A 24,715-nucleotide genomic window follows, 5' to 3' on the forward strand; every position below is an offset into this window, starting at 1 on the left:
ACCAAATGCCTAGAACAGTGCTTAACATGATAGGTAGTCAATAAATATTTGAATGACTGAATTAAATGGCTTATTGAGCCCTCTGAAAATTCTAGGTTTGAGGTTGAAGTTACAAGTGACCCTTTGAAAATGTTTATAATAAGAATATTATTCTTTCCCCAGCCTTCTTCTCTCTGGCTTTTTCTAGCTTTGTAACTGATTAATAGGGATTTGGTTTTCTTTCATCTTTAACACGTCCTTTTACAAGGCAGTCTGTGAGCAGGAATTGTAATCAAACACCATGGACTTGGATAGTTTCATAAATATTTTATTGCTTTAGCCTTCTGTTATATATTGGTGTTAGTGAAATTTCTGTTTCAGATAGAGCTGCTACTCAGGCAATCAGGTCTTTTCTTTCACCTTGTTTGTGCTTGGCTGCTAGGTGTACCAACCCTGTGGTGATGAATCATGAGAGAGAACCCTGTGTGCTGTTGCTGCCCTGGAGCAGTTTATATACTTGCTGGGAAGGCAATACCAGAAACCTTGAAATTGCCAGGAAACAGTTGAGGGCTATAGTTGTTGTAATAGCAATAAATGCTTTACAAGGATTAAGATGAGAAAGATTCCAAAATACACAAATATATAACAGAAATATTGTCAAGAGTAGATGAGTTTTGAACCCAAGCCTCAAAAATATTAGATCATACTAAAAGCATTGTCTTTATTAAGCCATTTAAATAAAAGGTGATCTAATTTAAGATCAAAGATTATCTACTTCTAGAATATCTATCTAAAATTAATCAAAGTTAGCTCAACACCCTACCTTAATTGTACTCACTTAACCTTAGTTAATACATACAAGTTCCTTTTGTTCCTATTTAACACAAGACAGAAGAATGATGAAAATAAACCAATAAATGAAGATAATAAAATTGTTTTAAACTACGCAACACTCTAAAAGTTTTAAGGAAATTGAAACATTAAAGTAAAATATTAATTAACGAGATGCATGGAGAGTGAGGTCTTGAATAACGAACTCTTCTATTTAATAATGTCAACTACAAAGCATTTTTTGATTCAGCCCCAGTAGTGTGCATGTTTTTCTAAAATTTTCAAGGACTATGTCTGTATTAAGTAGTTCAAACTTATTAACATAATTAAATATTTTTGATGCTTAAAATCTTCACTGACCTCTATTTCCTGAAATGTTATAAACAAGATAATCTGAAGACATTTTCACGAAAAATTACCCAGAAGTCTTCTATAAAACATTACAAATATTATTTTAAATGCATAGTAGAGCTTGCAAGGATATGAGAAATCCCCAGGGGCTCAAAGTAAAGCAGCTGAATACCAGATGGAACCCTGAGCAGTGGTGAATGCAAACCAGAATTCTAAGAGGGTAAACTAAAACCAAGGAACCCTGGGGGAGTTTCTGAACTTGGAGGCTAAGGGATTTACATTTTGGTACGAAACTGGCACATGAGATGAGATGTGGAAGATGGAATGTAAAGATACATTTTCATCTCATACACATTCTAGAAAAGTATAGAATATGGAGAACTGGCAATTTAAATTACAATGAAATAACATCCAGAAATCTTTCATAACTTATAAAAGATATAAATCCTCAGATTCAGAGATCTCAACAAATCCCAGGGAGGAAAACACAAATCCACTTCCAGAAACCTATAAATTAAAACTGTAGAGCCATTAAAGAAGATATTTTAAATGCAAGTGGAGGGAAAAATATAGACTATCTTCAAATAAAAAATAATTAGAAAACCTTGTAAAAATATCTTCAAAATTATTAGAGAAAATAACTGCCAATTTAAAATTCTATAATGTAGAAAATCATTCAAATGTGAGGATAAAATAAAATTACTTCTGAACAAATTTAATTAGCTATGAATAAACTTCTAGAAAAAGAATATCTTTAAAGGATAAGAAAATTTAATCCAGGAGGAAGGCACAAAACACAAGAAGGAATAGTGAATGAAGAAATTAGTGTTTTGTATTGAATAGGTGAATGTTTTAGTTCATTTGTGTTGCTATAAAGGAATACTTGAAACTAAGTAATTTATAAAGAAAAAGTTTATTTCACTCATAGTTCTGCAGGCTGTACAAGAAACACGGCATCAGCATCTGCTTCTGGTGAGGGCCTCAGAAATCTTCCACTCATGGCAGTAGGGGAAGGAGGACAGGCATCACGTGGCAACGGATGAAGGATGAGGAAGGGAAGGGAGATGCTAGGCTCTTTTCAACAATCAGCTCTTGTGAAAACTAATAGAGTGGGAATTCACTCATTACTGCAAGGATGGCACCAAGCTGCTCATGAGGGATCTGCCCCCGTGACACAGTCACCTCCCACTAGGTCACATCTCCAACAATGGATATTTCAATATGAGATTTGCAGGAAGGAAATATAAGTGGGTTGTCATAATGGCTGGAAACCCCACCAAGTCAATAAAGAACACTAAAAACATATTGACCAAGAACTAGGTTACGAAGAAAATTAGTATTAAAAAATTACTTTCTTTGATGATGATGCTATTAAATTACTTAGAAATCAGTAATAAATATAATTAACTCTTCTCCCCCAATACACATAGACCCATGTGGAAAGAACAAAACCAAAAGCAAAGCAAACCAACCAACCAACCAAACAAACAAACAAACAAGCACCCTTTTAAGTCATACATGGGTCAAAGAAGACATCGCAATTATAATTAGGAATTATTTGGATTGACCTATAATGAAAATACAACATGTCAAACTCATTGGATATAGGTAAATTGCTACCTCTAGCAGAAATTTGTAGATTTAAATTATTGTACCAGAAAAGGAAACAAAAAATTAGATTAAAAATTAATGAGCCAAGCTTCCAATACAATAAACTACTAAAAGAAAAATAGAATTGTGGAAACAGAAAATTATGAACCCAATAATTTTTATTCCATTTTTTGCTAGAACTTAAAGTGAAACTTGAAAGTTGTTTAATAAGAAACATTGGTAAAATGAAAGACTGTTGATAGAAATGTTTGAGAAGGTAAACACTAAGGTAGACATTATAATTTCATATTAGATAAAGTTTAATCTACACTAACTTGCAATTTTGCAATTATAAGGTTAAGTTTCTCTTTGAGTTTATTGGTAACATGGGTAAGGAGCTTTCTACTAGTAGCAAAAGGTTTACTAAAATGGTTTCATGGACTCGATTTATAATTTCAACACTGAAAATGATTATTACAGAGAACTACACCTGTTTGAATGTTTACTGAAGAAAGCTGGATTTACCACTTAACATTGTAAACTCTGCTTATTATAGAAGGCTTATTTTAACCACCAACCTTCTGACAATTCATTATGACCTTGTTGATCTAGTTCTAATTAACAAATTCAAAAGGTATGTGCACATTTCCTTTAAATCAGAAATATAGATAAAGGCATTATATTTGATAAATTTTCATTTTAGAAATAAAGTAAGTGAGAATATAATAAAGTTTAGAATATTTTGCATCACAATTAACATCTTATGGATGCTTTCACATTTCCCTCTGAGAACTAGAACACGACAAGGATGCCCACTCTTACCACTTTTATTCATAATTATACTGGAAGCTCTAGCCAGAGCAATTAGGCAAGAGAAAGAAATAAAGGTCATCCAAATTGGAAAAGAGGAAGGCAAATTGTTCCTACTTGCAGATTACATGATCTTATATACAGAAGAACCTAAAGACTCTACCAACAAACTCTTAGAACTGATAAATGAATTAAGTAAAGTTGTGGGATAAATTAATATACAAAATCAGTAGCATTTCAATACATAAACAACATGCTGGCTGAAAGAGAATTCAAGAAGGCAACCTCATTTACAATAGCTACAAAAAAATACCCAGGAATAAATTTAACCAAGGATGTGAAAGACCTTCACAAGGGAAACTACAGAACACTAATAAAAGAAATTAAAGAAGATACAAATGTAAAGACATCCCATGTTCATGGATCAGAATAATTAATATTGTTAAAATGACTATACCACCCAAAGCAATCTACAGATTCAATGCAATCCCTATCAAAATGGCAATGACATTCTTTATAGAAATAAAAAAACTTAAAATTTTGTGGAACCACAAAAGATACTGAATAACCAAAGCATTCTAAGCAAAAAGAACAAAATTATATGCATCACATTCTCAGACTTCAAAATATACTACAAAGCTATAGTAACCAAAACAACAAGGTATTGGCATGAAAATAGAAACATAGACCAGAAGAACAGACTAGAGAACCCAGAAAATAATCCATGTATTGACATTCAACTAATTTTTGACAAAGGTGTCAAGAACACTCACTGGGGAAAGGACAGTCTCTTCAATAAATTCTGCTGGGAAAATTGTAGATCCCTAGGCAGAAGAGTGAAACTATACTTCCACCTCTCATTCTATATAGAAATGACCACAAAATGACTCAGAGACCTAAATATAAGACCTGAAATGATAAAACTACTAGAAGAAAATGTAGAAGTGCTTCAGAGCATTGGTCTGGGAAAAGGTTTTATGAGTAAGACTTCAGAAGCACAGGAAACAAAAGGAAAAATAAACAAATGGGATTATGTCAAACCAAAAAGCTTCTTCACAGCAAAGAAAACAAAAAACAGAATGAAAAGATAACCTATAGAATGGAAGAAAATATTTGCCAACTACCCATTTGACAGAAGATTAACTCAAACATCTCAACAGCAAAAAAACAACAAATCACCACCAACAAAAAAGTTGATTAAGAAAATAAGCAAATGATCTGAACAGACATTTCCCAAAAGAAAACAACAAATACATAAAACAGGTTCCCTGATCATCAGGAAAATTCAAATTAAAACCACAACAAGATATTGTCTCGCCAGTTAGGATGGCTATCCTCAAAAGGACAACAAAATAACAAATGTTGGTGAGGATGAAGAGAAAAGGGAACACATAAATACTGTTGCTGGGAAAATAAACTAGTACAGACACTATAAAAAACAGTATGAAGTTTCATCAGTATGAAGGTTCATCAAAAGGAGCTATCATATGATCCAGCAATCCTACTACTTAGAATTTATCCCAAAGGAAAGGAAATTACTATATCAAAGAGACATCTACACTTCCATGTTTTTATTGCAGCACTACTCCAATAGCTAAGGTATGGAATCAACCTAGTTGTCCAACAGATAAATGGATAAAGCAAATGCGGTATATATACATAATGGAATACTATTTAGCCATAGAATAAAATCCTTAGCCAAAGAATAAAATCCTGTCATTTGCAGCAACATGGGTGGAATTGGAGGACATGATGTTAAATGAAACAAGCTAGGAACAGAAAGTTGAACACTGTATATTATCACTAATATATGGAAGCTAGAAAAAGTTGATCTCATAGACGTAAAAAGTATAACAGAGGATACTAGAGGCTGGGAAGGGTATGGGGACGAGAAGGATAAGGAGAGATTTGTTAAAGGATACAAAATTATAGCTAGATAGGAAGAATAATCTCTAGTGTTCTATATCACTGTAGGATGACTATAGTTAACAATAATATATAGTTGCAAATCATAAAGAAGGATATTGACGTTCCCAACACAAATAAATGGAAAATGTTTGAGATGATGGGTATGCTAATCACTCTGTTCTGATCACTCTGTTCTGATGCATTGAAACATCACTATGCTCCCCATAAATATGTACAATTATTATTTGTAAATTATAAAAAATTAAAATAAAATATCACATTGCAAGATTTAAATTTGCCTTGAGAGAGGAAACCTAAAAGAGTGGAAAGAAAGAATAAAGAGAAGAATAAAAATTCATTAAAAATAACAATAAACAAGATCAACAACAGCAAAAGCTAATTCTTTGGAAGGATTAAGACTAGAAAGAATATTTGTTTATAATCAGCAAAGAATAAAAACTGAGAGAGAAAAAAAGCACCCAAACAATTAGAGGCATGAAAGATGGCACTTAACTACAGATATAACATATTTAAATTAGAGAACTCTACAATTTTATAACATTACTTTTTTTTTTCTTTTGAGACAGTCTTGCTCTGTCACCCAGGCTGGAGTGCAGTGGCATAATCATGGCTTATTGCAGCCTTGACTTCCTGGGCTTAATTGATCCTGCCCCCTCAACCTCTCAAACAGCTGAGACTGCAGGCATGCACCACCACATCTGGCTGACTTTTGTTTTTGTTTGGGTTTTTTTGGGAGAGACAGGGTTTTACCATATTGCCCAGGCTGGTCTTCAACTCCTTGGCTGGAGTGAACCACCTGTCTCTATTTCTCAAAGTGCTGGGATTACAGGCATGAGACACCACAGCTAGACTAACAGTAGATTTGAAAAATCAGAAAACATGGATAATTTTTACAGAAATATATGCTTACAAAAATTGATTCATGAAGATACAGAAAAGTGAATAGACCTATAATTATTAACAAATTGTGTTGGTAATTTAACAGCTGTCCCCTAAAAAAATAAGGTCAGTACCATGTGATGTTAGAAGTAAATTCCACCCCTTCAAAGGAACAAAAAATCCCAATCTTATATAAACTATACCACAGACTAGTGTATTAGTCCATTTTCACACTGCTGATAAAGACATACTCAAGACTGGGCAAATTACAAAAGAAAGAGGTTTAATGGACTTACAGTTCCACGTGGCTGGGGAGGCCTCACAATCATGACAGAAGGCGAGGAGCAAGTCATGTTCTACATGGATGGCAGCAGGCAAAGAAAGAGAGCTTGTGCAGGGGAACTCATCTTTTTAAAATCATCAGATGTCATGAGACTTAGTCACTATCGTGAAAACAGCACGGGAAAAACCCGCCCCCTTGATTCAATTACCTCCCACTGGGTCCTTCCCATAACACATGGGAATTCAAGATAAGAGTTGAGTGGGGACACAGAGCCAAACCATATCATTCTGCCCCTGGCCCCTCCCAAATCTCATGTCCTTACATTTGAAAACTAATTATGCCTTCCCTACAGTCTACCAAAAGTCTTAACTCATTTCAATATTAACTCAAAAATCCACAATCCAGAGTCTCATCTGAGACAAGGCCAGCCCCTTCTGCCTATGAGCCTGTAGAATCAAAAGCATGTTAGTTACTACCTAGATACAATGGGGTAGAGGTATTGGGTAAATACAGCCATTCCAAATGAGAGAAAGTGGCCAAAACAAATTTGGCCAATTTTGGCCAACCGATGCAGGGTTGAAATCCAGTGGGACAGTCAAATCTTTAAAACTCCAAAATGATCTGTTTTGACTCCATTTCTCACATCCAGGTCACAGTAATGTAAGAGGTGGGTTCCATGATCTTGGGCAGCTCTGCCCCTGTGGCTTTGCAGGGTACAGCCTCCCTCCCATGTGTCTTCCAGCCACATGGTGCAAACTGTCGGTGGATCTACCATTCTGGGGTCTGGAGGATGGTGGCCGTCTTCTCACAGCTCCACTGGGCAGTGCTCCAGTAAGGACTCTGTGTCAGGGTCCCACCACATATTTCCCTTCCATACTGCCCTAGCAGAGGCTCTCCACAAGGGCCTCTCCCCTGCAGCAGACTTCTGCCTGGGCATCCAGGTGTTTCCATACATCTTCTGAAATCTAGGTGGAGGTTTCCGAACCTCAATTCTTGACTTTTGTGTATCTTGACTTTTGTGCTCAACATCATGTGGAAGCTGCCAAGGCTTGGGGCTTGCACCCTCTGAAGCTATGGCCCGAGCTCTATGTTGGCTCCTTTCAGCCACAGCTGGAGCAGCTGGAACACAGGGCGCTAAGTCCCTAGGCTGCACACAGTATGGGGACCTTGTTCCTGGCCCTTGAAACCACTTTTTCCTTCTAGACCTCTGGGTCTGTGATGAGAGCAGCTGCTGTGAAGATCTCTAACGTGCCCTGGAGACATTTCCCCATGTTGTCTTGGGTATTAACATTCAGCTGCTTGTTACTTACGCAAATTTACGCAGCCAGCTTGACTATTTCCTCAGAAATTGGGATTTTCTTTTCTATTGCATTGTCAGGCTGCAAATTTTCTGAACTTTTGGCTCTGATTATTTTATAAAACTGAATGTCTTCAACAGCACCCAAGTCAAGTCTTGAGTGCTTTGCTGCTTAGAAATTTCTTCCACCAGATACCCTACATCATCTCTCAAGTTGAAAGTCCCACAAATCTCTAGGGCAGGGGCAAAATGCCACCAGTCTTTTTGCTAAAACATAACAATAGTCACCTTTGTTCCAGTTACCAACAAGTTCCTCATCTCCATCTGAGACCACCTCAGTCTAAACGTTATTGTTCATATCACTATCAGCATTTTTGTCAAAGCCATTCAACAAGTCTTTAGGAAGTTCCAAACTTTCCCACATTTTCCTGTCTTCTGCCTGTTTCCAACCTCTGCCTGTTACCCAGTTCCAAAGTCACTTCCACATTTTCAGGTGTGTTTTCAGCAATGCCCCACTCTACTGGTACAAATTTACTGTTTTAGTCCACTTTCATGCTGCTGATAAAGACATTTCTGAGACTGGGCAATTTACAAAAGAAAGAGATTTAATGGACTTACAGTTCCATGTGGCTGAGGAGGCCTCACAATCATGGTGGAAAGCAAGGAGGAGCAAGTCACATCTTAAATGGATGGTGGCAGGCAAAGAGAGAGCTTGTGCAGGGGAACTCCTCTTTTTAAAACCATCCGATCTCGTGAGACTTATTCACTATCATGAGAACAGCACGGGAAAGACCTGCCCTCATGATTCAATTACCTCCCACCAGGTCCCTGCCATACTAGCCAAACCATATCAGCTAGTAAAAGAAGTAATGCTCTCCAACCCTTTTTATGTGGTTAGTGTAACATTGGTAACAAAAGTAGACAGGGACAATAAAAGGAAATAATATAGGGACAATGTGCATTTAGCAGAGTCTAAATAAATAATACATTATTATCAGCTTGAATGTGTCACAGAATTCAAGAGTTGCTAAATATTAGACAACTCTTTCAAAGAAAATTTTCATATAAATAAATTAAAAGAGAAAAAGCCACATGATTTTCTTAATAAACATAGAAAATGTATTTGATAAAAATGGAAATCTATCACAATAAAAGTTTTTAAGAAAAAAATTCTTAATCTGATAAGGGGTAATTCGATTAAACACTAAAATAAATATACTGAATGGAGAAATTTTAGACACATTCCGCTTAAAATTGGAATGAGACAATGATGCTGTTACCTCCTCTATTTGATATTGTGCTGGATACCCTGGCCTACACAATAAGAATAGAGAAAGAAAAAGATACGTCATAATTACTACGCAATAAGAATAGAAAATGAAAAAGATATGTCAGAATTACTGATGAAAAACTATCATTACCCACAGAAAACATCATTGTTTACACACACACACAAAGCCTACTCTGTAACCAGTCTACGACATCACTATGACAGCTGATAAGAAAGTCTAGTTAGATAGCTGGGTGTATGATTAGTGGACAAAAATAACCCCCCCATATTATTTTAAACTATATCAATTACAGTGACCACAAAAGTTATACCATATCAAGAAATTAGTCTAAGAAAAAAACAGGCTCCAGGATTTAGGAGAAGTAATCAAATACTTAATTGAAAAAAAATAAAAACCCTAAACAAACAGAAATAAGCACATTTATAAGTGGTAAGTTTCAATGTTGTGAAGATAATCAGTTTAATCCACATCAGTATATAAATTGAAGGCAAAACCCATCTAAAGCACAGTTGTTTTTTTGTTTGTTTTTGTATGGGTATGTGGAAATTAACTGGCTGATTAATAGTTATATGGAAGAGCAAGTTTTAAAGAAAAGCTAAAGCAATTTTAAAGAAGTAGATCAAGATTGAGGGGATTGGCATACCAGGAAATATGATTTTTCTAAAGTTAGAGTGATTAAAATATTATGATATCGACAGGGATTTAAAAAAATAGACCAATGGAAGAAAATAAAGAGCACGGAAATAAACCACAAACAAAGGAATATGATAAATGACAGTGTATCATCAAAAATCAGTGGTGGACAATATGGACTAATCAATAAAGGATGCTAAGACTATTGATTTTCCTTGTGGAGTAACCTAAGACCTTTGCTTATTACCACATTAAATCTCAATTCCAATTTTACTAAAGATATAAATAGGAAAAATTAAGACTTTAAAACTTTTAAATAAAATGTCTGTTCAGAAGACTTTTTTAAAAAAACACACAAAAATCCCGCACTAAAATTGAAAAATTAATAAATTTAAGTACACTAAACTTAAAATTTCTGTAAAACAAAGATACATAAACTGAACTGTAGTTTATGTGTAAGCGTTAGACTGGAGAAAGATATTTGCAACACATGCCAGTAAAGTATATAAAGAAATTTGCTAAATAATAAGAGAAATACAAACAACCCAGTAGAAAAATTGGCAAAAGATATGAACAGGCAATTTATAGAAGATAAAATGCAAACGATCAATAAACATGTAAAAAAAAGAAGATGTTCATCTTCAGTAGTAATCAAGAAGTGTAAACAATACTTTGACACCTTTATTCACCATTATATTGGTGAACATTGAAAGGAAAATCCCACAGTATCCATGCTGGTGAGGCAGTGGAACAGTAGGATATTTTCTACAGTCTTGATGGAAGGATAATTTGCTACAACTGCTTTCAAGAGTCATTTGTTAATATTCATTAAAGTAGAAGATACAAAATGCCCTTGGACCCAGTTATTCCATGTCCTTCTCTCTGCCACATGTACACCTGGGGTCAGACAAAACATTAATTACGGAAGCATCATTACTAAACCAAAAAACTGGAAACAACTTAAGTACCCTCAAGTATGAACATAAATACAATTAATGCACTGTGGTATATTTACACAATGCCAAATTTTAAAATGAAAAAAGGAGTAAACTGAGCTGCATGCAACCAGCTGGAAAAATTTCCAAAGTATAATGTTGAGAGCAAAAACCAAAAAGTTGATAAGATGTATGTAAACATGAACAGAATGATATTTTTATAAAGGTTAACAACATGCAAAATAATATAGTATGTTGTTTTGTATTCATGTCTTTTTATTGTGTATTTTTGATGCTTTGACATCTTCTGGCTTTGCTGACCCTGAAGAAACTGCCCCTCCCAGTGGTGGTGGCTAATGCCCAGAGACAGCAAACAACTGGTCTGTGAATGCACCTTTCATATGCAAACCAACTAATCCAAAGTCCATACTCCCAGCCATCTCCTTTACAGGGTTCTTAACACTCTGGGCCATTATTCCCCTACTCTAATTACCTAGGTCCAGGTATCTGACAACTAGGGACATCCACTACACTGCAGAGTTTGCCGAGAAGTTATTCAAACTAGCCAATCTTAAGCTGTTTACCTGGTCTCTGGCTGCCCGTTCCTATGGAAAGACAATAAGAGTTTTATCCACATTTCCCCCTTACTTTCTCTGCCTTCTGATTGACCCTACTGTTTCTTTGTGTTCCTCCTCCTGCCCCAGGGTGTGATTCCTTTCTCTTGGGTTCTGTGAGTATAACAAATTATCTTTTCAATGGTAGTTGTCTCTTGATCTGTTGGCCTCACCATTAAACAGGAATAGTAATAAAGACTAAATTTTAAAACAGGATTAAAGATGCATATATATCTCTTAAAAAATTCTGGAGATGATCAACACCAAAATCAGTATAGTCACTTCTGTGACAAGAAGTACATAATTGTATCTAAAGTATCTTATATTAAAAAAAAACAAAACTAAGCAATTATGACCAAGTGTTAAGATTTGGCAAAGCTAAGTGGTGTCTTATGGGCATTTATTATAATATTCTCTATACTTCATGCTTGAAATATTTCATAATTAATTTTCAAGATTGAAATTCTCACCAGGGCATATCCCAAGCATCATTTATTAACTCACTATTAATTCATTTGTTTTTAAACAGCTATTTAAAAGTATCATCACACCATTCTTGTCAGATAGTACCTTTACCTCCCCATAAAGTGCCTGAATGATTTCTGTAAAGATTAAATAATTCACCACTATGACACTAAAAAAAATTTTTTTGTCACTATACTGCAGGTTACTTAATGTTTCTTACATGATAAATGGGGTGGGTGGAATTTATGTTTTCTTCCCTGAAATTGGGAAGCTTTATGATTCTCTTAAACTCTGTCTCTGTTAGAAATATTTCATACTTTGGGCAGTCCATTCACACTTGGCCAAATTTAATTTCCCTTTGTGGCTTAAAGGAGAACGGTTTAAAAGATTCCATAGAAAGCTTTCTGGCAGTCTGGAAGACAGCCAATATTCTTTTTGAGAAAGCTGCCTTTTTATGATGGCCCAAGTGTAAATGATACTGGGTTCTGTGTTCTTTGAATTTCACACAAGTTTAAAAGTTAAAGTTAGGCGGAGGAGCCAAGATGGCCGAATAGGAACAGCTCCAGTCTACAGCTCCCAGCGTGAGCGACACAGAAGATGGGTGATTTCTGCATTTCCATCTGAGCTTTGAAGAGAGCAGTGGTTCTCCCAGCACGCAGCTGGAGATCTGAGAACAGCCAGACTGCCTCCTCAAGTGGGTCCCTGACCCCTGAGCAGCCTAACTGGGAGGCACCCCCCAGCAGGGGCAGACTGACACCTCACACAGCCGGGTACTCCAACAGACCTGCAGCTGAGGGTCCTGTCTGTTAGAAGGAAAACTAACAAACAGAAAGGACATCCACATCAAAAACCCATCTGTACATCACCATCATCAAAGACCAAAAGTAGATAAAACCACAAAGATGGGGAAAAAACAGAGCAGAAAAACTGGAAACTCTAAAAAGCAGAGCGACTCTCCTCCTCCAAAGGAACGCAGTTCCTCACCAGCAACGGAACAAAGCTGGACGGAGAATGAATTTGACGAGCTGAGAGAAGAATGCTTCAGACGATCAAATTACTCCGAGATACGGGAGGACGTTCAAACCAAAGGCAAAGAAGTTGAAAACTTTGAAAAAAATTTAGAAGAATGTATAACTAGATAACCAATACAGAGAAGTGCTTAAAGGAGCTGATGGAGCTGAAAACCAAGGCTCAAGAACTACGTGAAGAATGCAGAAGCCTCAGGAGCCGATGCGATCAACTGGAAGAAAGGGTATCAGCGATGGAAGATGAAATGAATGAAATGAAGCGAGGAGGGAAGTTTAGAGAAAAAAGAATAAAAAGAAACGAGCAAAGCCTCCAAGAAATATGGGACTATGTGAAAACACCAAATCTACGTCTGATTGGTGTACCTGAAAGTGACGGGGAGAATGGAACCAAGTTGGAAAACACTCTGCAGGATATTATCCAGGAGAACTTCCCCAATCGAGCAAGGCAGGCCAACATTCAGATTCAGGAAATACAGAGAACGCCACAAAGATACTCCTCGAGAAGAGCAACTCCAAGATACATAATTGTCAGATTCACCAAAGTTGAAATGAAGGAAAAAATGTTAAGGGCAGCCAGAGAGAAAGGTCGGGTTACCCTCAAAGGGAAGCCCATCAGACTAACAGCAGATCTCTCGGCAGAAACTCTACAAGCCAGAAGAGAGTGGGGGCCAATATTCCACATTCTTAAAGAAAAGAATTTTCAACCCAGAATTTCATATCCAGCCAAACTAAGCTTCATAAGTGAAGGAGAAATAAAATACTTTACAGACAAGCAAATGCTGAGAGATTTTGTCACCACCAGGCCTGCCCTAAAAGAGCTCCTGAAGGAAGCGCTAAACATGGAAAGGAACAACCGGTACCAGCCACTGCAAAATCATGCCAAATGTAAAGACCATCGAGACTAGGAAGAAACTGCATCAACTGATGAGCAAAATAACCAGCTAACATCATAATGACAGGATCAAATTCACACATAACAATATTAACTTTAAATGTAAATGGACTAAATGCTCCAATTAAAAGACACAGACTGGCAAATTGGATAAAGAGTCAAGACCCATCAGTGTGCTGTATTCAGGAAACCCATCTCACGTGCAGAGACACACATAGGCTCAAAATAAAAGGATGGAGGAAGCTCTACCAAGCAAATGAAAAACAAAAAAAGGCAGGGGTTGCAATCCTAGTCTCTGATAAAACAGACTTCAAACCAACAAAGATCAAAAGAGACAAAGAAGGCCATTACATAATGGTAAAGGGATCAATTCAACAAGAAGAGCTAACTATCCTAAATATATATGCACCCAATACAGGAGCACCCAGATGCATAAAGCAAGTCCTGAGTGACCTACAAAGAGACTTAGACTCCCACACATTAATAATGGGAGACTTTAACATCCCACTGTCAACATTAGACAGATCAACGAGACAGAAAGTCAAAAAGGATACCCAGGAATTGAACTCAGCTCTGCACCAAGCAGACCTAATAGACATCTACAGAACTCTCCACCCCAAATCAACAGAATATACATTTTTTTCAGCACCACACCACACCTATTCCAAAATTGACCACATACTTGGAAGTAAAGCTCTCCTCAGCAAATGTAGAAGAACAGAAATTGTAACAAACTATCTCTCAGACCACAGTGCAATCAAACTAGAACTCAGCATTAAGAATCTCACTCAAAACCGCTCAACTACATGGAAACTGAACAACCTGCCCCTGAATGACTACTGGGTACATAACGAAATGAAGGCAGAAATAAAGATGTTCTTTGAAACCAACGAGAACAAAGACACAACATACCAGAATCTCTGGGACGCATTCAAAGCAGTGTGTAGAGGGAAATTTATAGCACTAAATGCCCACAAGAGAAAGTAGGAAAGATTCACAGTTGACACCCTAACATCACAATTAAAGGAACTAGAAAAGCAAGAGCAAACACATTCAAAAGCTAGCAGAAGGCAAGAAATAACTAAAATCAGAGCAGAACTGAAGGAAATAGAGACAAAAAAACCTTTCAAAAAATTAATGAATCCAGGAGCTGGTTTTCTGAAAGGATCAACAAAATTGATAGACCGCTAGCAAGACTAATAAAGAAAAAAAGAGAGAAGAATTCAGTAGACGCAATAAAAAATGATAAAGGGGATATCATCACCGATCCCACAGAAATACAAACTACCATCAGAGAATACTACAAACACCTCTATGCAAATAAACTAGAAAATCTAGAAGAAATGGATAAATTTCTGGACACATACACTCTCCCAAGACTAAACCAGGAAGAAGTTGAATCTCTGAATAGACCAATAACAGGATCTGAAATTGTGGCAATAATCAATAGCTTACCAACCAAAAAGAGTCCAGGACCAGATGGATTCACAGCTGAATTCTACCAGAGGTACAAGGAGGAACTGGTACCATTCCTTCTGAAACTATTCCAATCAATAGAAAAAGACGGAATCCTCCCTAACTCATTTTATGAGGCCAGCATCATCCTGATACCAAAGCCTGGTAGAGACACAACAAAAAAAGAGAATTTTAGACCAATATCTTTGATGAACATTGATGCAAAAATCCTCAATAAAATACTGGCAAACTGAATCCAGCAGCACATCAAAAAGCTTATCCACCATGATCAAGTGGGCTTCATCCCTGGGATGCAAGGCTGGTTCAATATATGCAAATCAATAAATGTAATCCAGCATATAAACAGAACCAAAGACAAAACCCACATGATTATCTCGATAGATGCAGAAAAGGCCTTTGACAAAATTCAACAACCTTCATGCTAAAAACTCTCAATAAATTAGGTATTGATGGGACGTATCTCAAAATAATAAGAGCTATCTATGACAAACCCACAGCCAATATCATACTGAATGGGCAAAAACTGGAAGCATTCCCTTTGAAAACTGGCACAACGAAGGGATGCCCTCTCTCACCACTACTATTCAACATAGTGTTGGAAGTTCTGGCCAGGGCAATTAGGCAGAGCTTTACTTCCAACTATGTGGTCAATTTTGGAATAGGTGTGGTGTGGTGATTCCTCAGGGATCTAGAACTAGAAATACCATTTGACCCAGCCATCCCATTACTGGGTATATACCCAAAGGACTATAAATCATGCTGCTATAAAGACACATGCACACGTATGTTTATTGGGGCACTATTCACAATAGCAAAGACTTGGAACCAACCCAAATGTCCAACAATGATAGACTGGATTAAGAAAATGTGGCACATATACACCATGGAATACTATGCAGCCATAAAAAAGGATGAGTTCATGTCCTTTGTAGGGACATGGATAAAGCTGGAAACCATCATTCTCAGCAAACTATCCCAAGGACAAAAAACCAAACACCGCGTGTTCTCGCTCATAGGTGGGAATTGAACAATGAGAACACATGGACACAGGGAGGGGAACATCACACACTGGGGCCTGTTGTGGGGGGGGGGAGTGGGGAGGGATAGCATTAGGAGATATACCTAATGCTAAATGACGAGTTAATGGGTGCAGCACACCAACATGGCACATGTATACATATGTAACTAACCTGCACATTGTGCACATGTACCCTAAAACTTAAAGTATAATAATAAAAATATAGAAAGGTTTTCTTAGGATATGGGAGAGCAGTTGTTATAAAGTAAAAACTACAAATGATTGGCCCATGAATGTAATCCAGCCCAAGATATGCTTTTATTTCAGCCCATACTACATTATAGAGAAATTTGAATAGGTGCCAGCACTTTACATTGTGAGAGTTCATCTAAAATTGCAGATTTATGGCTTCTCTTCAAGACAGAAAAGATGTAGCAACCCTGAGCTACACTCTCACATAATCACAATTAGCTATAATTGAGTGATGGGTGACACCTTATAAATGGCATAAGTTGTCAGTGAGTCAGAGTCCTTGCTGATTTGTTCTTCTGTCTTGTAACTTAAGACTTTGAGATTTCTGGTACCTGAAAAGCTGCAGTCCGAGTGGGCTTCAGAACTCAGTGATTCTCACATCTGGCTTCATTTTATAATCACCTGCGGAAGATTTTTCATACTATAAATGCCTGAGCCTCTCTCCTGGAGGTGGGTGTGCTATCAGGCATCCTTATTTTATTTCTTATTTTTTAATTTGTGTTTTTGAGATGAAGTCTTGCTCTTTTGCCGAGGCTGGAGTGCAGTGGTGCAATCTTGGCTCATTGCAAACTCCACATGCCAGGTTCAAGTGATTCTCCCACCTCAGCCTCCCAGGTAGCTGGGATTACAGGTGCCCGCCATCATGTCTGGCTAATTTTCTTAGTTTCACCGTGTTGGCCATGGTTGGCCAGGCTGGTCTCAAACTCCTGATCTCAGGTGATCTGCCTGCCTTGGCCTCCCAAAGTGGTGGGATTACAGGTGTGAGGCAGCGTGCCTGGCCCAGGCATCCTTATTTTAAAAGATACTCATGTGATTTTCACGTGTGGTCAATACTGAGAACACCTGCTTTAGTAGAATAGCATAAAGAGCCAGCAGCAAGTTGCTCTGCTCAGTAGTTGAGGGACCCTGTGGGCAGGGTTTTTTTTTTTTTTTTTTTTTTTTTTTTACAAAGCTACTTCTATCCCATATCTCTCTCCTTTCAGTCACAGGTCAAGGCATTGGAATAACAACACAAATAAACAGGATATATACACTTTCCATTGGAGATCCTCTTCTTTGTTCAATGGAGGTTAGGCTTTTTGGTAACTGGGGCCAGATCAGGGTGGAAAGGACTCTTCTACCTCAGGTGTACACAGTACATAAATGAGGGTAGTGTATATAACAGTAAAGAAGAAGAGCATTGGATGGAAGGGAAACAAGAAAGCCAGAGAGGGGAGTCCAAGATGAAGAATCAGAAGCAGATATTGAAAGAGCCAGAGAGCATTCACTTGTTCTTTTGACAAATATTCACTGTGTTCCTATTCATATGTCTGACACTGCGCTAGGCCCTGAGGACATATGATAAAAAAGACGAAGTATCTGCCCTAATTAGCTTATGTTCTAGCCAGAGAAATAGGCAATCAGAAATAGTTTGAAAAAATAAAAGCATGTATAGTCATGAGGCAATTACTTGGAATGAAAACAGGATCAATCATGCATAAAGTAATAGAGGTAAAAAAGAAACAGTCCTTTAAAAATTACATACATATGCATAGTTGGGTGGTAGATGGATGGATGGAGACAGAGGGAGGGAGCAAGGGAAGGCGAAAGATGTGGGAGAGGACTAATATATCCTGTTATGCATTTTCAAATTATTTATTGAACATCTACGTGACACACATTATCTAAGTTTCTTAGGAAAAAAACAGTGATAAGACAGACACATTTCCTTCTCTACCAATTTTAATTATATTGAGAGAGAGATATGTGTAGTCTAATAACTATAGTATAGAGTGTGTGGTGATGATGACAGTGGTGGCATTTAGCACTAGCTGTATCAGGCACTGTGCTAAATATTTCATTTGCAGTATCTAATATAATCTTCAAAATCATCTTGTGAAATAGGTAACTATCCATACTTGTGTCCACTTATAGATGAGGGCCCTGAGCTGAGCATGGTTTATTTACTTGATCAAGGACACAGTTAGAAAGTGGCAGATGTAGTTCTGAAGCCTGTCTGGTCCCAAAGCCCATGCGCACAAGTCTGCGTGTGTATGTGGTGCAGAGGGATAAGAGAATGGGACCCAGGGCTGGTAAAGTTTTAATGAGGGCGAGGAGAATGAGTGATAACAAAACAGTTCTGGAGCTTAGATGTTTCTTTAAAAAGTAGGACCAGGTAAGAAAATTTAAAAAAAGACAGCAGTCATGCGAGGTTGTGCTGGGACTTTGAGGAAACACAAAGATGCCCCAAGAAGGGGAAAGAAGAAATTTTACCAGAAATTCTTCAGAAAGACAGTCTGGTATAAAATTAATTCAGAATTGAACTTTTGTTACTCTAGATTCTGCACCCCGGTTGGGATAATTCAGTGATGCCCTTACTTTTGCTCTGTCAGTGTGGGTAAACAGAATTCGACTTTAATGATTCACTGTAGTTTCAGGCAGAATGACAAACGCATTGTGCCTCTAAAGCAGTTCTTTAGGTGCCCTCAGTTAATATCCACCTGATTTAACTGTGAATTTTATTGACAATATTTAGCTCAAGATGCAATAATGTGAGGTGACTGTCACATAAAGGTTGGTTTGGGGCTACTTCTGCTTAGATATAGGAGGATTAACTAGGGATAAACTTCCTTTTAGAGTCCATGAACTCTGGCTGACTGACAGTCACTGAGAATGAAGTCACAAGGAAAGCTGATCACTACTCCATGAACCAAAAAGATAAATTTAGGTCTTTCATAATGCACTTAAAACTAATTTCTGTATTCTATTTAAAAGTTTCACACATTTAATCAGAAAACATATGCATTGAGTAATTATATTTTACTGACTGTGTAAAATGCAAATGTCGAACGTTCAAATGAACTGTTAGAAATAAGAACCTATGCATAAAACTATAATAGATTCAGAGAAAAGTGAAGAAGACTTAGTGCTCAGAATGCAATTGTGTATCCAAATTCACTTCTAATATAATATAATATAATATTTATTTATATGAGTTTGAGGAATGATTTATTTAATTATTTAATCTTCGTGGTGATAACCGGATTATATCTACACCTATTCCTTAAGAACAACATGTATTTCGACAGGGAGAAAGATTCCCTGAAAAATTTAATTTCCTCTGTAGGGATGGAATGAAAGCATTTTCTTTTCAGCATTGTTTCTTTCAAATATGAACCAGAGATTTTTACCAGAAATCAAGATAAATAACTGTTTTGCATCAGAAGAACGTAAAATAATATCAAGGATACATTCTGCTTCTTTAGATACTATTAGAACAGAGCAAGTCCTGAATAAATAGCATACATGTTGAAATAGAGGAAAGGCAGTTTGGCTTTTATAATACTTACTTGGTAAAAATAAATAGCATTGGCCAACAGAAACACAGAGACTCTTCATTAAAAAATACTGAAATCTATAAATGCTCATCTCCAGAGTAACCGCGTGTAACAAAACAACAGCTCATCCAGGCTGCAATGCAACAATGATATAATAGGATCAAAACCTTGCATTTAACAAAGAAAGTATGTCTCCAATTTCTGGAAAACAGTGATATATTTCATGTTACTCTAAGAATGAGATATGTGTCTTGATTTTTGACAGTTCCTAATTTGACAGTAGCTATTGATCTAAAAAATAAATATTCCTGTTAAAAGGGGTCTTTGCACTAATGTAAGCCTGAAAAATGATAGTGGAGAGCTGAGTCACTGCTAGTGATGATGCAGATTTACATAGTCTGCACCAGGCTTTTCTAATCCCGAACTGTGTGTGCAAAGCGTGTACATTCTAGCTAGCAGGGACGCTGACCACTCGAAAAAGACTTACCAGTGGCTAAAAGGCAAAAAGACCAGGAAAAATGAACTAACATTTATTGAAGCCCTATCATGTACAGGCATTTTCCAGGGTTGTTTATCACATGATCTTGCTTTTAGTTCTCACTACAGTGAAACAAAGCAAGTTTTTTCTTTTTTAACTAACATACAGTAAAATCGAGTGTGTGTGTGTGTGTGTGTGTGTGTGTGCATGTGTGTGTGTAAAATTCTATGAGTTTGAACATGTGCATAGATTCATGTAACCACCACAATCGGGATATGGAACAGCTCCATCACCACAAAACTCCCTTGGACTGACATTTTGAGGAAACACTGTCCCTCCACTTTTAACTGCTAGTAATGACCAATCTGTTCTCTGTTACTATAACTTTGTCTTTTCTAAAATGTCATATAAATGCTATCATACAGTATATAACATGTGAGACTGGCTTCTTTCAGTTCACTTGAGATTCATCTGTTTAGTTGTATAGGTCAATAAGTAGTTTGTTCCTTTTTGCTGCTGAGTAGTATTCCACTGTATGAATATACCACAGTTTGTTTACCTATTCACCTGTTGAAGTACCTTTGGGTTGTTCTTGTTTGGGGATGATTATGAATAGAGCTGCTATAAACACTTATGTGGAGGTTTCTTATGAATAGAACTTTTCATTTTTCATGATAAATATATAGTAGTGAAATTACTGGGTCACATGATAAATATGTTTGACTACATAAAAAGTTGCTAAGTTGTTTTCCAGAGCAGCTGTACCACATTGGGTTCTCAGGAGGTATTTATGAGAGTTCCAGGTGCTCTACATCCTTGTCAGCATGCAGTAGTCAGTTTTGTTTTGAGCTGTTCTGATAGCTATAAAGTTTTATCACACTGTGGTTTTAATTAGTTACGTAATGGCTACATTGTTTCCTTAGTGCTGAGCATGTTTTGTTGTGCTTATTTGTCATTCTTATATTTTTTTTGGTGAAGTGACTGATTCTTTCCCATGATTAAAAAAATTTTTTTTCTTGTTTTCTTTCTGGAGTTTTGAGAATTCTCTATATATACTAGATAGAAGTCCTTTTTTAGACATAGGGTTTACAAATATTATCTCCCTATCTGTAGTTTGTCCTTCATTCTCTTGATAGTAGCTTACATAGAACAAAAGTTTTACATTTCGATGAAGTCCAACTTACCATTTTTTTTTTAATGGATTGTGTTTTTGATGTCATGTTTTAAAACTCTTTGCCTAAAATCATGGAGATTTTCTCTAGTGTTTTTGTCTAAGTTTTTTATAGCTTTTATGTTTTATATTTAGATTTATGATACAATTTGGGAGAATTTTTGTGTACGGTATGAGGTTTAGAACATTAAAAAAAAATTTTTGAGACATGGTCTTGTTCTGTCACTCAGGCTGGAGTGCAGTAGCATCATCACGGCTCTCTGCAGTCTTGACCTCCCAAGTTCAAGTGATCCTTTCCCCTCAGCCTCTTTAGTAGCTGGGACTACAGGTGTGTGTCACCATGCCTGGCTATATTTTTTGTAGAGATGGGGTCTCACCATGTTGCCCAGTCTGGTCTTCAACTCCTGACCTCAAGTGATCTGCCCAACTTGGCCTCCCAAAGTGCTGGGATTACAGGCATGAGCCATCATGCCCAGCCAATAACAATTTTTTTAAAAACATATGCTCCAGTGCTATTTGTTTAAAAATACTATCCTTTTGCTGATGAATTACGTTAGATTTCTGTCAAAAATTAATTAGCTATAATTTTGTGGGTCTGTTCTGCTAAATGGATAGATCTATGAGTCTTTTTGCCAATGTTATGTTTTCTTGATTATTGCAGTTTTATAGTAAGTCTTTAAATTGGTTAACATGAGTTCTCTGATTTGGTTCTTCTTTGTCAAAATTATTTTGACTGTTTTAATCCCTTTACCTTTTCATATAAATTTTAGAATCAGCTAATCTGTATCTACAAAAAATCCTTCAGGGATTTTGTTTGTAATTATGTTAACCTACAGATCAGTTTGAGGAGAATTAACTATAGTGAATTTTCTGATTATGAACACAACACAGTATGGCTTTCCATTAATTAGGTCTTATTTGATTTCTTTCATCAGCATTTTGTAGCTTTCAGGATACAGATCCTGTATCTATTTTATTAGGTTTACAACTAAGTATTTCAATTTTTTGAGCAACTGTAAGTGATGTTAGATTTTATTTTTGGTTTCTAATTGTTCGCTGCTAAATTACAAATAAAAAGAATTTTTACATGTTGACTTTGCATCCTATGAATTTGTTAAACTCACTTTGTAGTTATAAGAGCGTTTTTTTGGAGACCCATTGCGTGGTTTTTCTATGTAGACAATCAGGTAATTTATGAACAGAGACAATTTTGTTCCTGTGTTTCCAATCTGAATGCCTTTTATTTTTCTTTCTTGCCTTATTACCCTAGCAAAGGCTTCTAGTACTATGTGAATAGAAGTTGTGAAAGTGGACATTCTTGCTTTTTATGTTTCACAATTAAGTATGGTGTTTGTGGTAAATGCTCTTTATCAAGCTAATAAAGTTTGCTTCTATCTCTAGTCTGCTGAATGTTTAACCAAGAATAGATATTGGATTATTTTCAAATGTTTTATCTTCTTTAATTGATTTAATCTTTTTTCTTTAGTCTTTTAATTACATTGTATAAATTATAGTGTTTGCTTTTGAATTTCTTTATTTTATTATTTTATTTTTATTTTCATTTTTGAGACGGAGTCTCCCTCTGTCACACAGGCTGGAGTGCAGTGGGTGATCTCGGCTCACTGCAACCTTCACCTCCCGGGTTCAAGTGATTCTCCTGCCTCAGCCTCCCAAATAGCTGGGATTACAGATGCGCACCACCATGCGCAGCTATTTTTTCTATTTTTAGTAGAGATGGGGTTTCACCATGTTGGGCAGGCTGGTCTCGAACTCCTGACCTTAACTAATCCACCTGCCTCAGACTCCCAAAGTGCTCGGATTACAGGCATGAGCCACCACACCCAGCTTTGGTTTTGAATTTCAACACAGTCTTGCATTCTTGGAATAAACCCCATTTGATCATTGTGAATAATTCTTAGTTTATGTTGCTGGATTGCCTTCAATCTTGCTAATAAGATTTCAGTGATTTTTCATCCATATTCATGAAGGAATATTTGTCCATAGTTTTCCTCTGTTTTACTATTTCTGTCTAATTTTGATATCAGAGTAATGCCGGCTTTGTAACATGAACTGGGAAATATCAATTAGATTTAGTTGGCTGGTAATGTGATTCATTCTTCTGTATCCTTACTGACTTTGTCTACTTGTTCATTTGATTGCTGAGATAGGAGTGTTAAAACGTCCAAATAGAGGTGTACATGTGTCTATTCCTCATTTCAGTTGTATCAGTTTGTGATTCATGTATATCGAAGAAATGTTGTTAGGTGCATACACATTTAAATCATTGTCTTCTTGACCTTTTTGTCATTCTGCAATGTCCCTCTTTTTTCATGGTAATTTTTCCTTGCTCTGAAGTCTGTGTTATCTGATATTAATATAGCCACTACAGCTATCTTTTGATTTGTGTTTACATGGCATGGCATAGTCTCTCTTTTTTCATCCTTTTATTCCAGCCTTTCTAAAACATTATATTTATCTTTTTTTTTTTTTTTTTGAGACGGAGTCTTGCTCTGTCTCCCAGGCTGGAGTTCATTGGTACGATCGCAGCTCGCTGCAACCTCTGCCTCCCGGGTTCAAGCGATCCTCCCGCCTCAGCCACCCAAGCAGCTAGGATTACAGGCGTGCACCACCACGCCTGGCTAATTTTTAAATATTTTTAGTAGAGACCGAGTTTCACCATGTTGGCCAGGCTGGTCTCGAACTCCTGACCTCAGATGATCCATCCACCTTGGCCTTCCAAATTGCTAGGATTATAGGCATGAGCCACTGTGCCTGGCTAAAGCTTTCTAAAACATTATATTTAAAATGGATTTATTTTACATAGCACATAGTTGAATATCTTTGTTGTAACTGGTGTCTTCAGATCATTTACACATAATTATTAATATCTTTAGATTTAGGTCTATCGCTTTCTAATTTGTTTCCTGTTTGTTTACTCTATATTTCATTAGTTTCCTCCTTTCTTCCTTCTTTTGGATTATTTAAATATATTTCTCTCAAATTGTATTTGACTACATATCTTCAAATAAATTTTTAAGTAGTTGCTCTAGGGATTAAACTTTTAGAATCCACTTAGAATTAATATTTTATTACTTCAATGGTAATACAGAAACCTTGCCACCACCATTAAGCTCCTCCCTCCATGTTGTAATTGTCATAGGCATTTTATTTGCAAACATTAAAAATTGCATCAGA

General features: G+C 36.6%; 1 protein-coding gene across 4 annotated transcripts in view, besides 1 other annotated feature; it reads right to left on the reverse strand.

Annotated features, from left to right (window-relative positions):
• Positions 1-24,715, reverse strand: part of FSHR (follicle stimulating hormone receptor) — a 192,359-nt gene that overhangs the window by 107,442 nt on the left and 60,202 nt on the right. The window lies entirely within an intron of this gene.
• Positions 10,939-11,739: an enhancer, noted in NCBI's record as "OCT4-NANOG hESC enhancer chr2:49307676-49308476 (GRCh37/hg19 assembly coordinates)". NCBI's record gives its function as "activates a minimal SCP1, AML or CMV promoter by ChIP-STARR-seq in naive and primed H9 embryonic stem cells {active_cell/tissue: H9 hESC(naive and primed)}" and the evidence as "EXISTENCE:reporter gene assay evidence [ECO:0000049][PMID:30033119]".

This window comes from Homo sapiens, chromosome 2, assembly GCF_000001405.40.
Source record: "Homo sapiens chromosome 2, GRCh38.p14 Primary Assembly".
Classification (NCBI taxonomy): domain Eukaryota; kingdom Metazoa; phylum Chordata; class Mammalia; order Primates; family Hominidae; genus Homo; species Homo sapiens.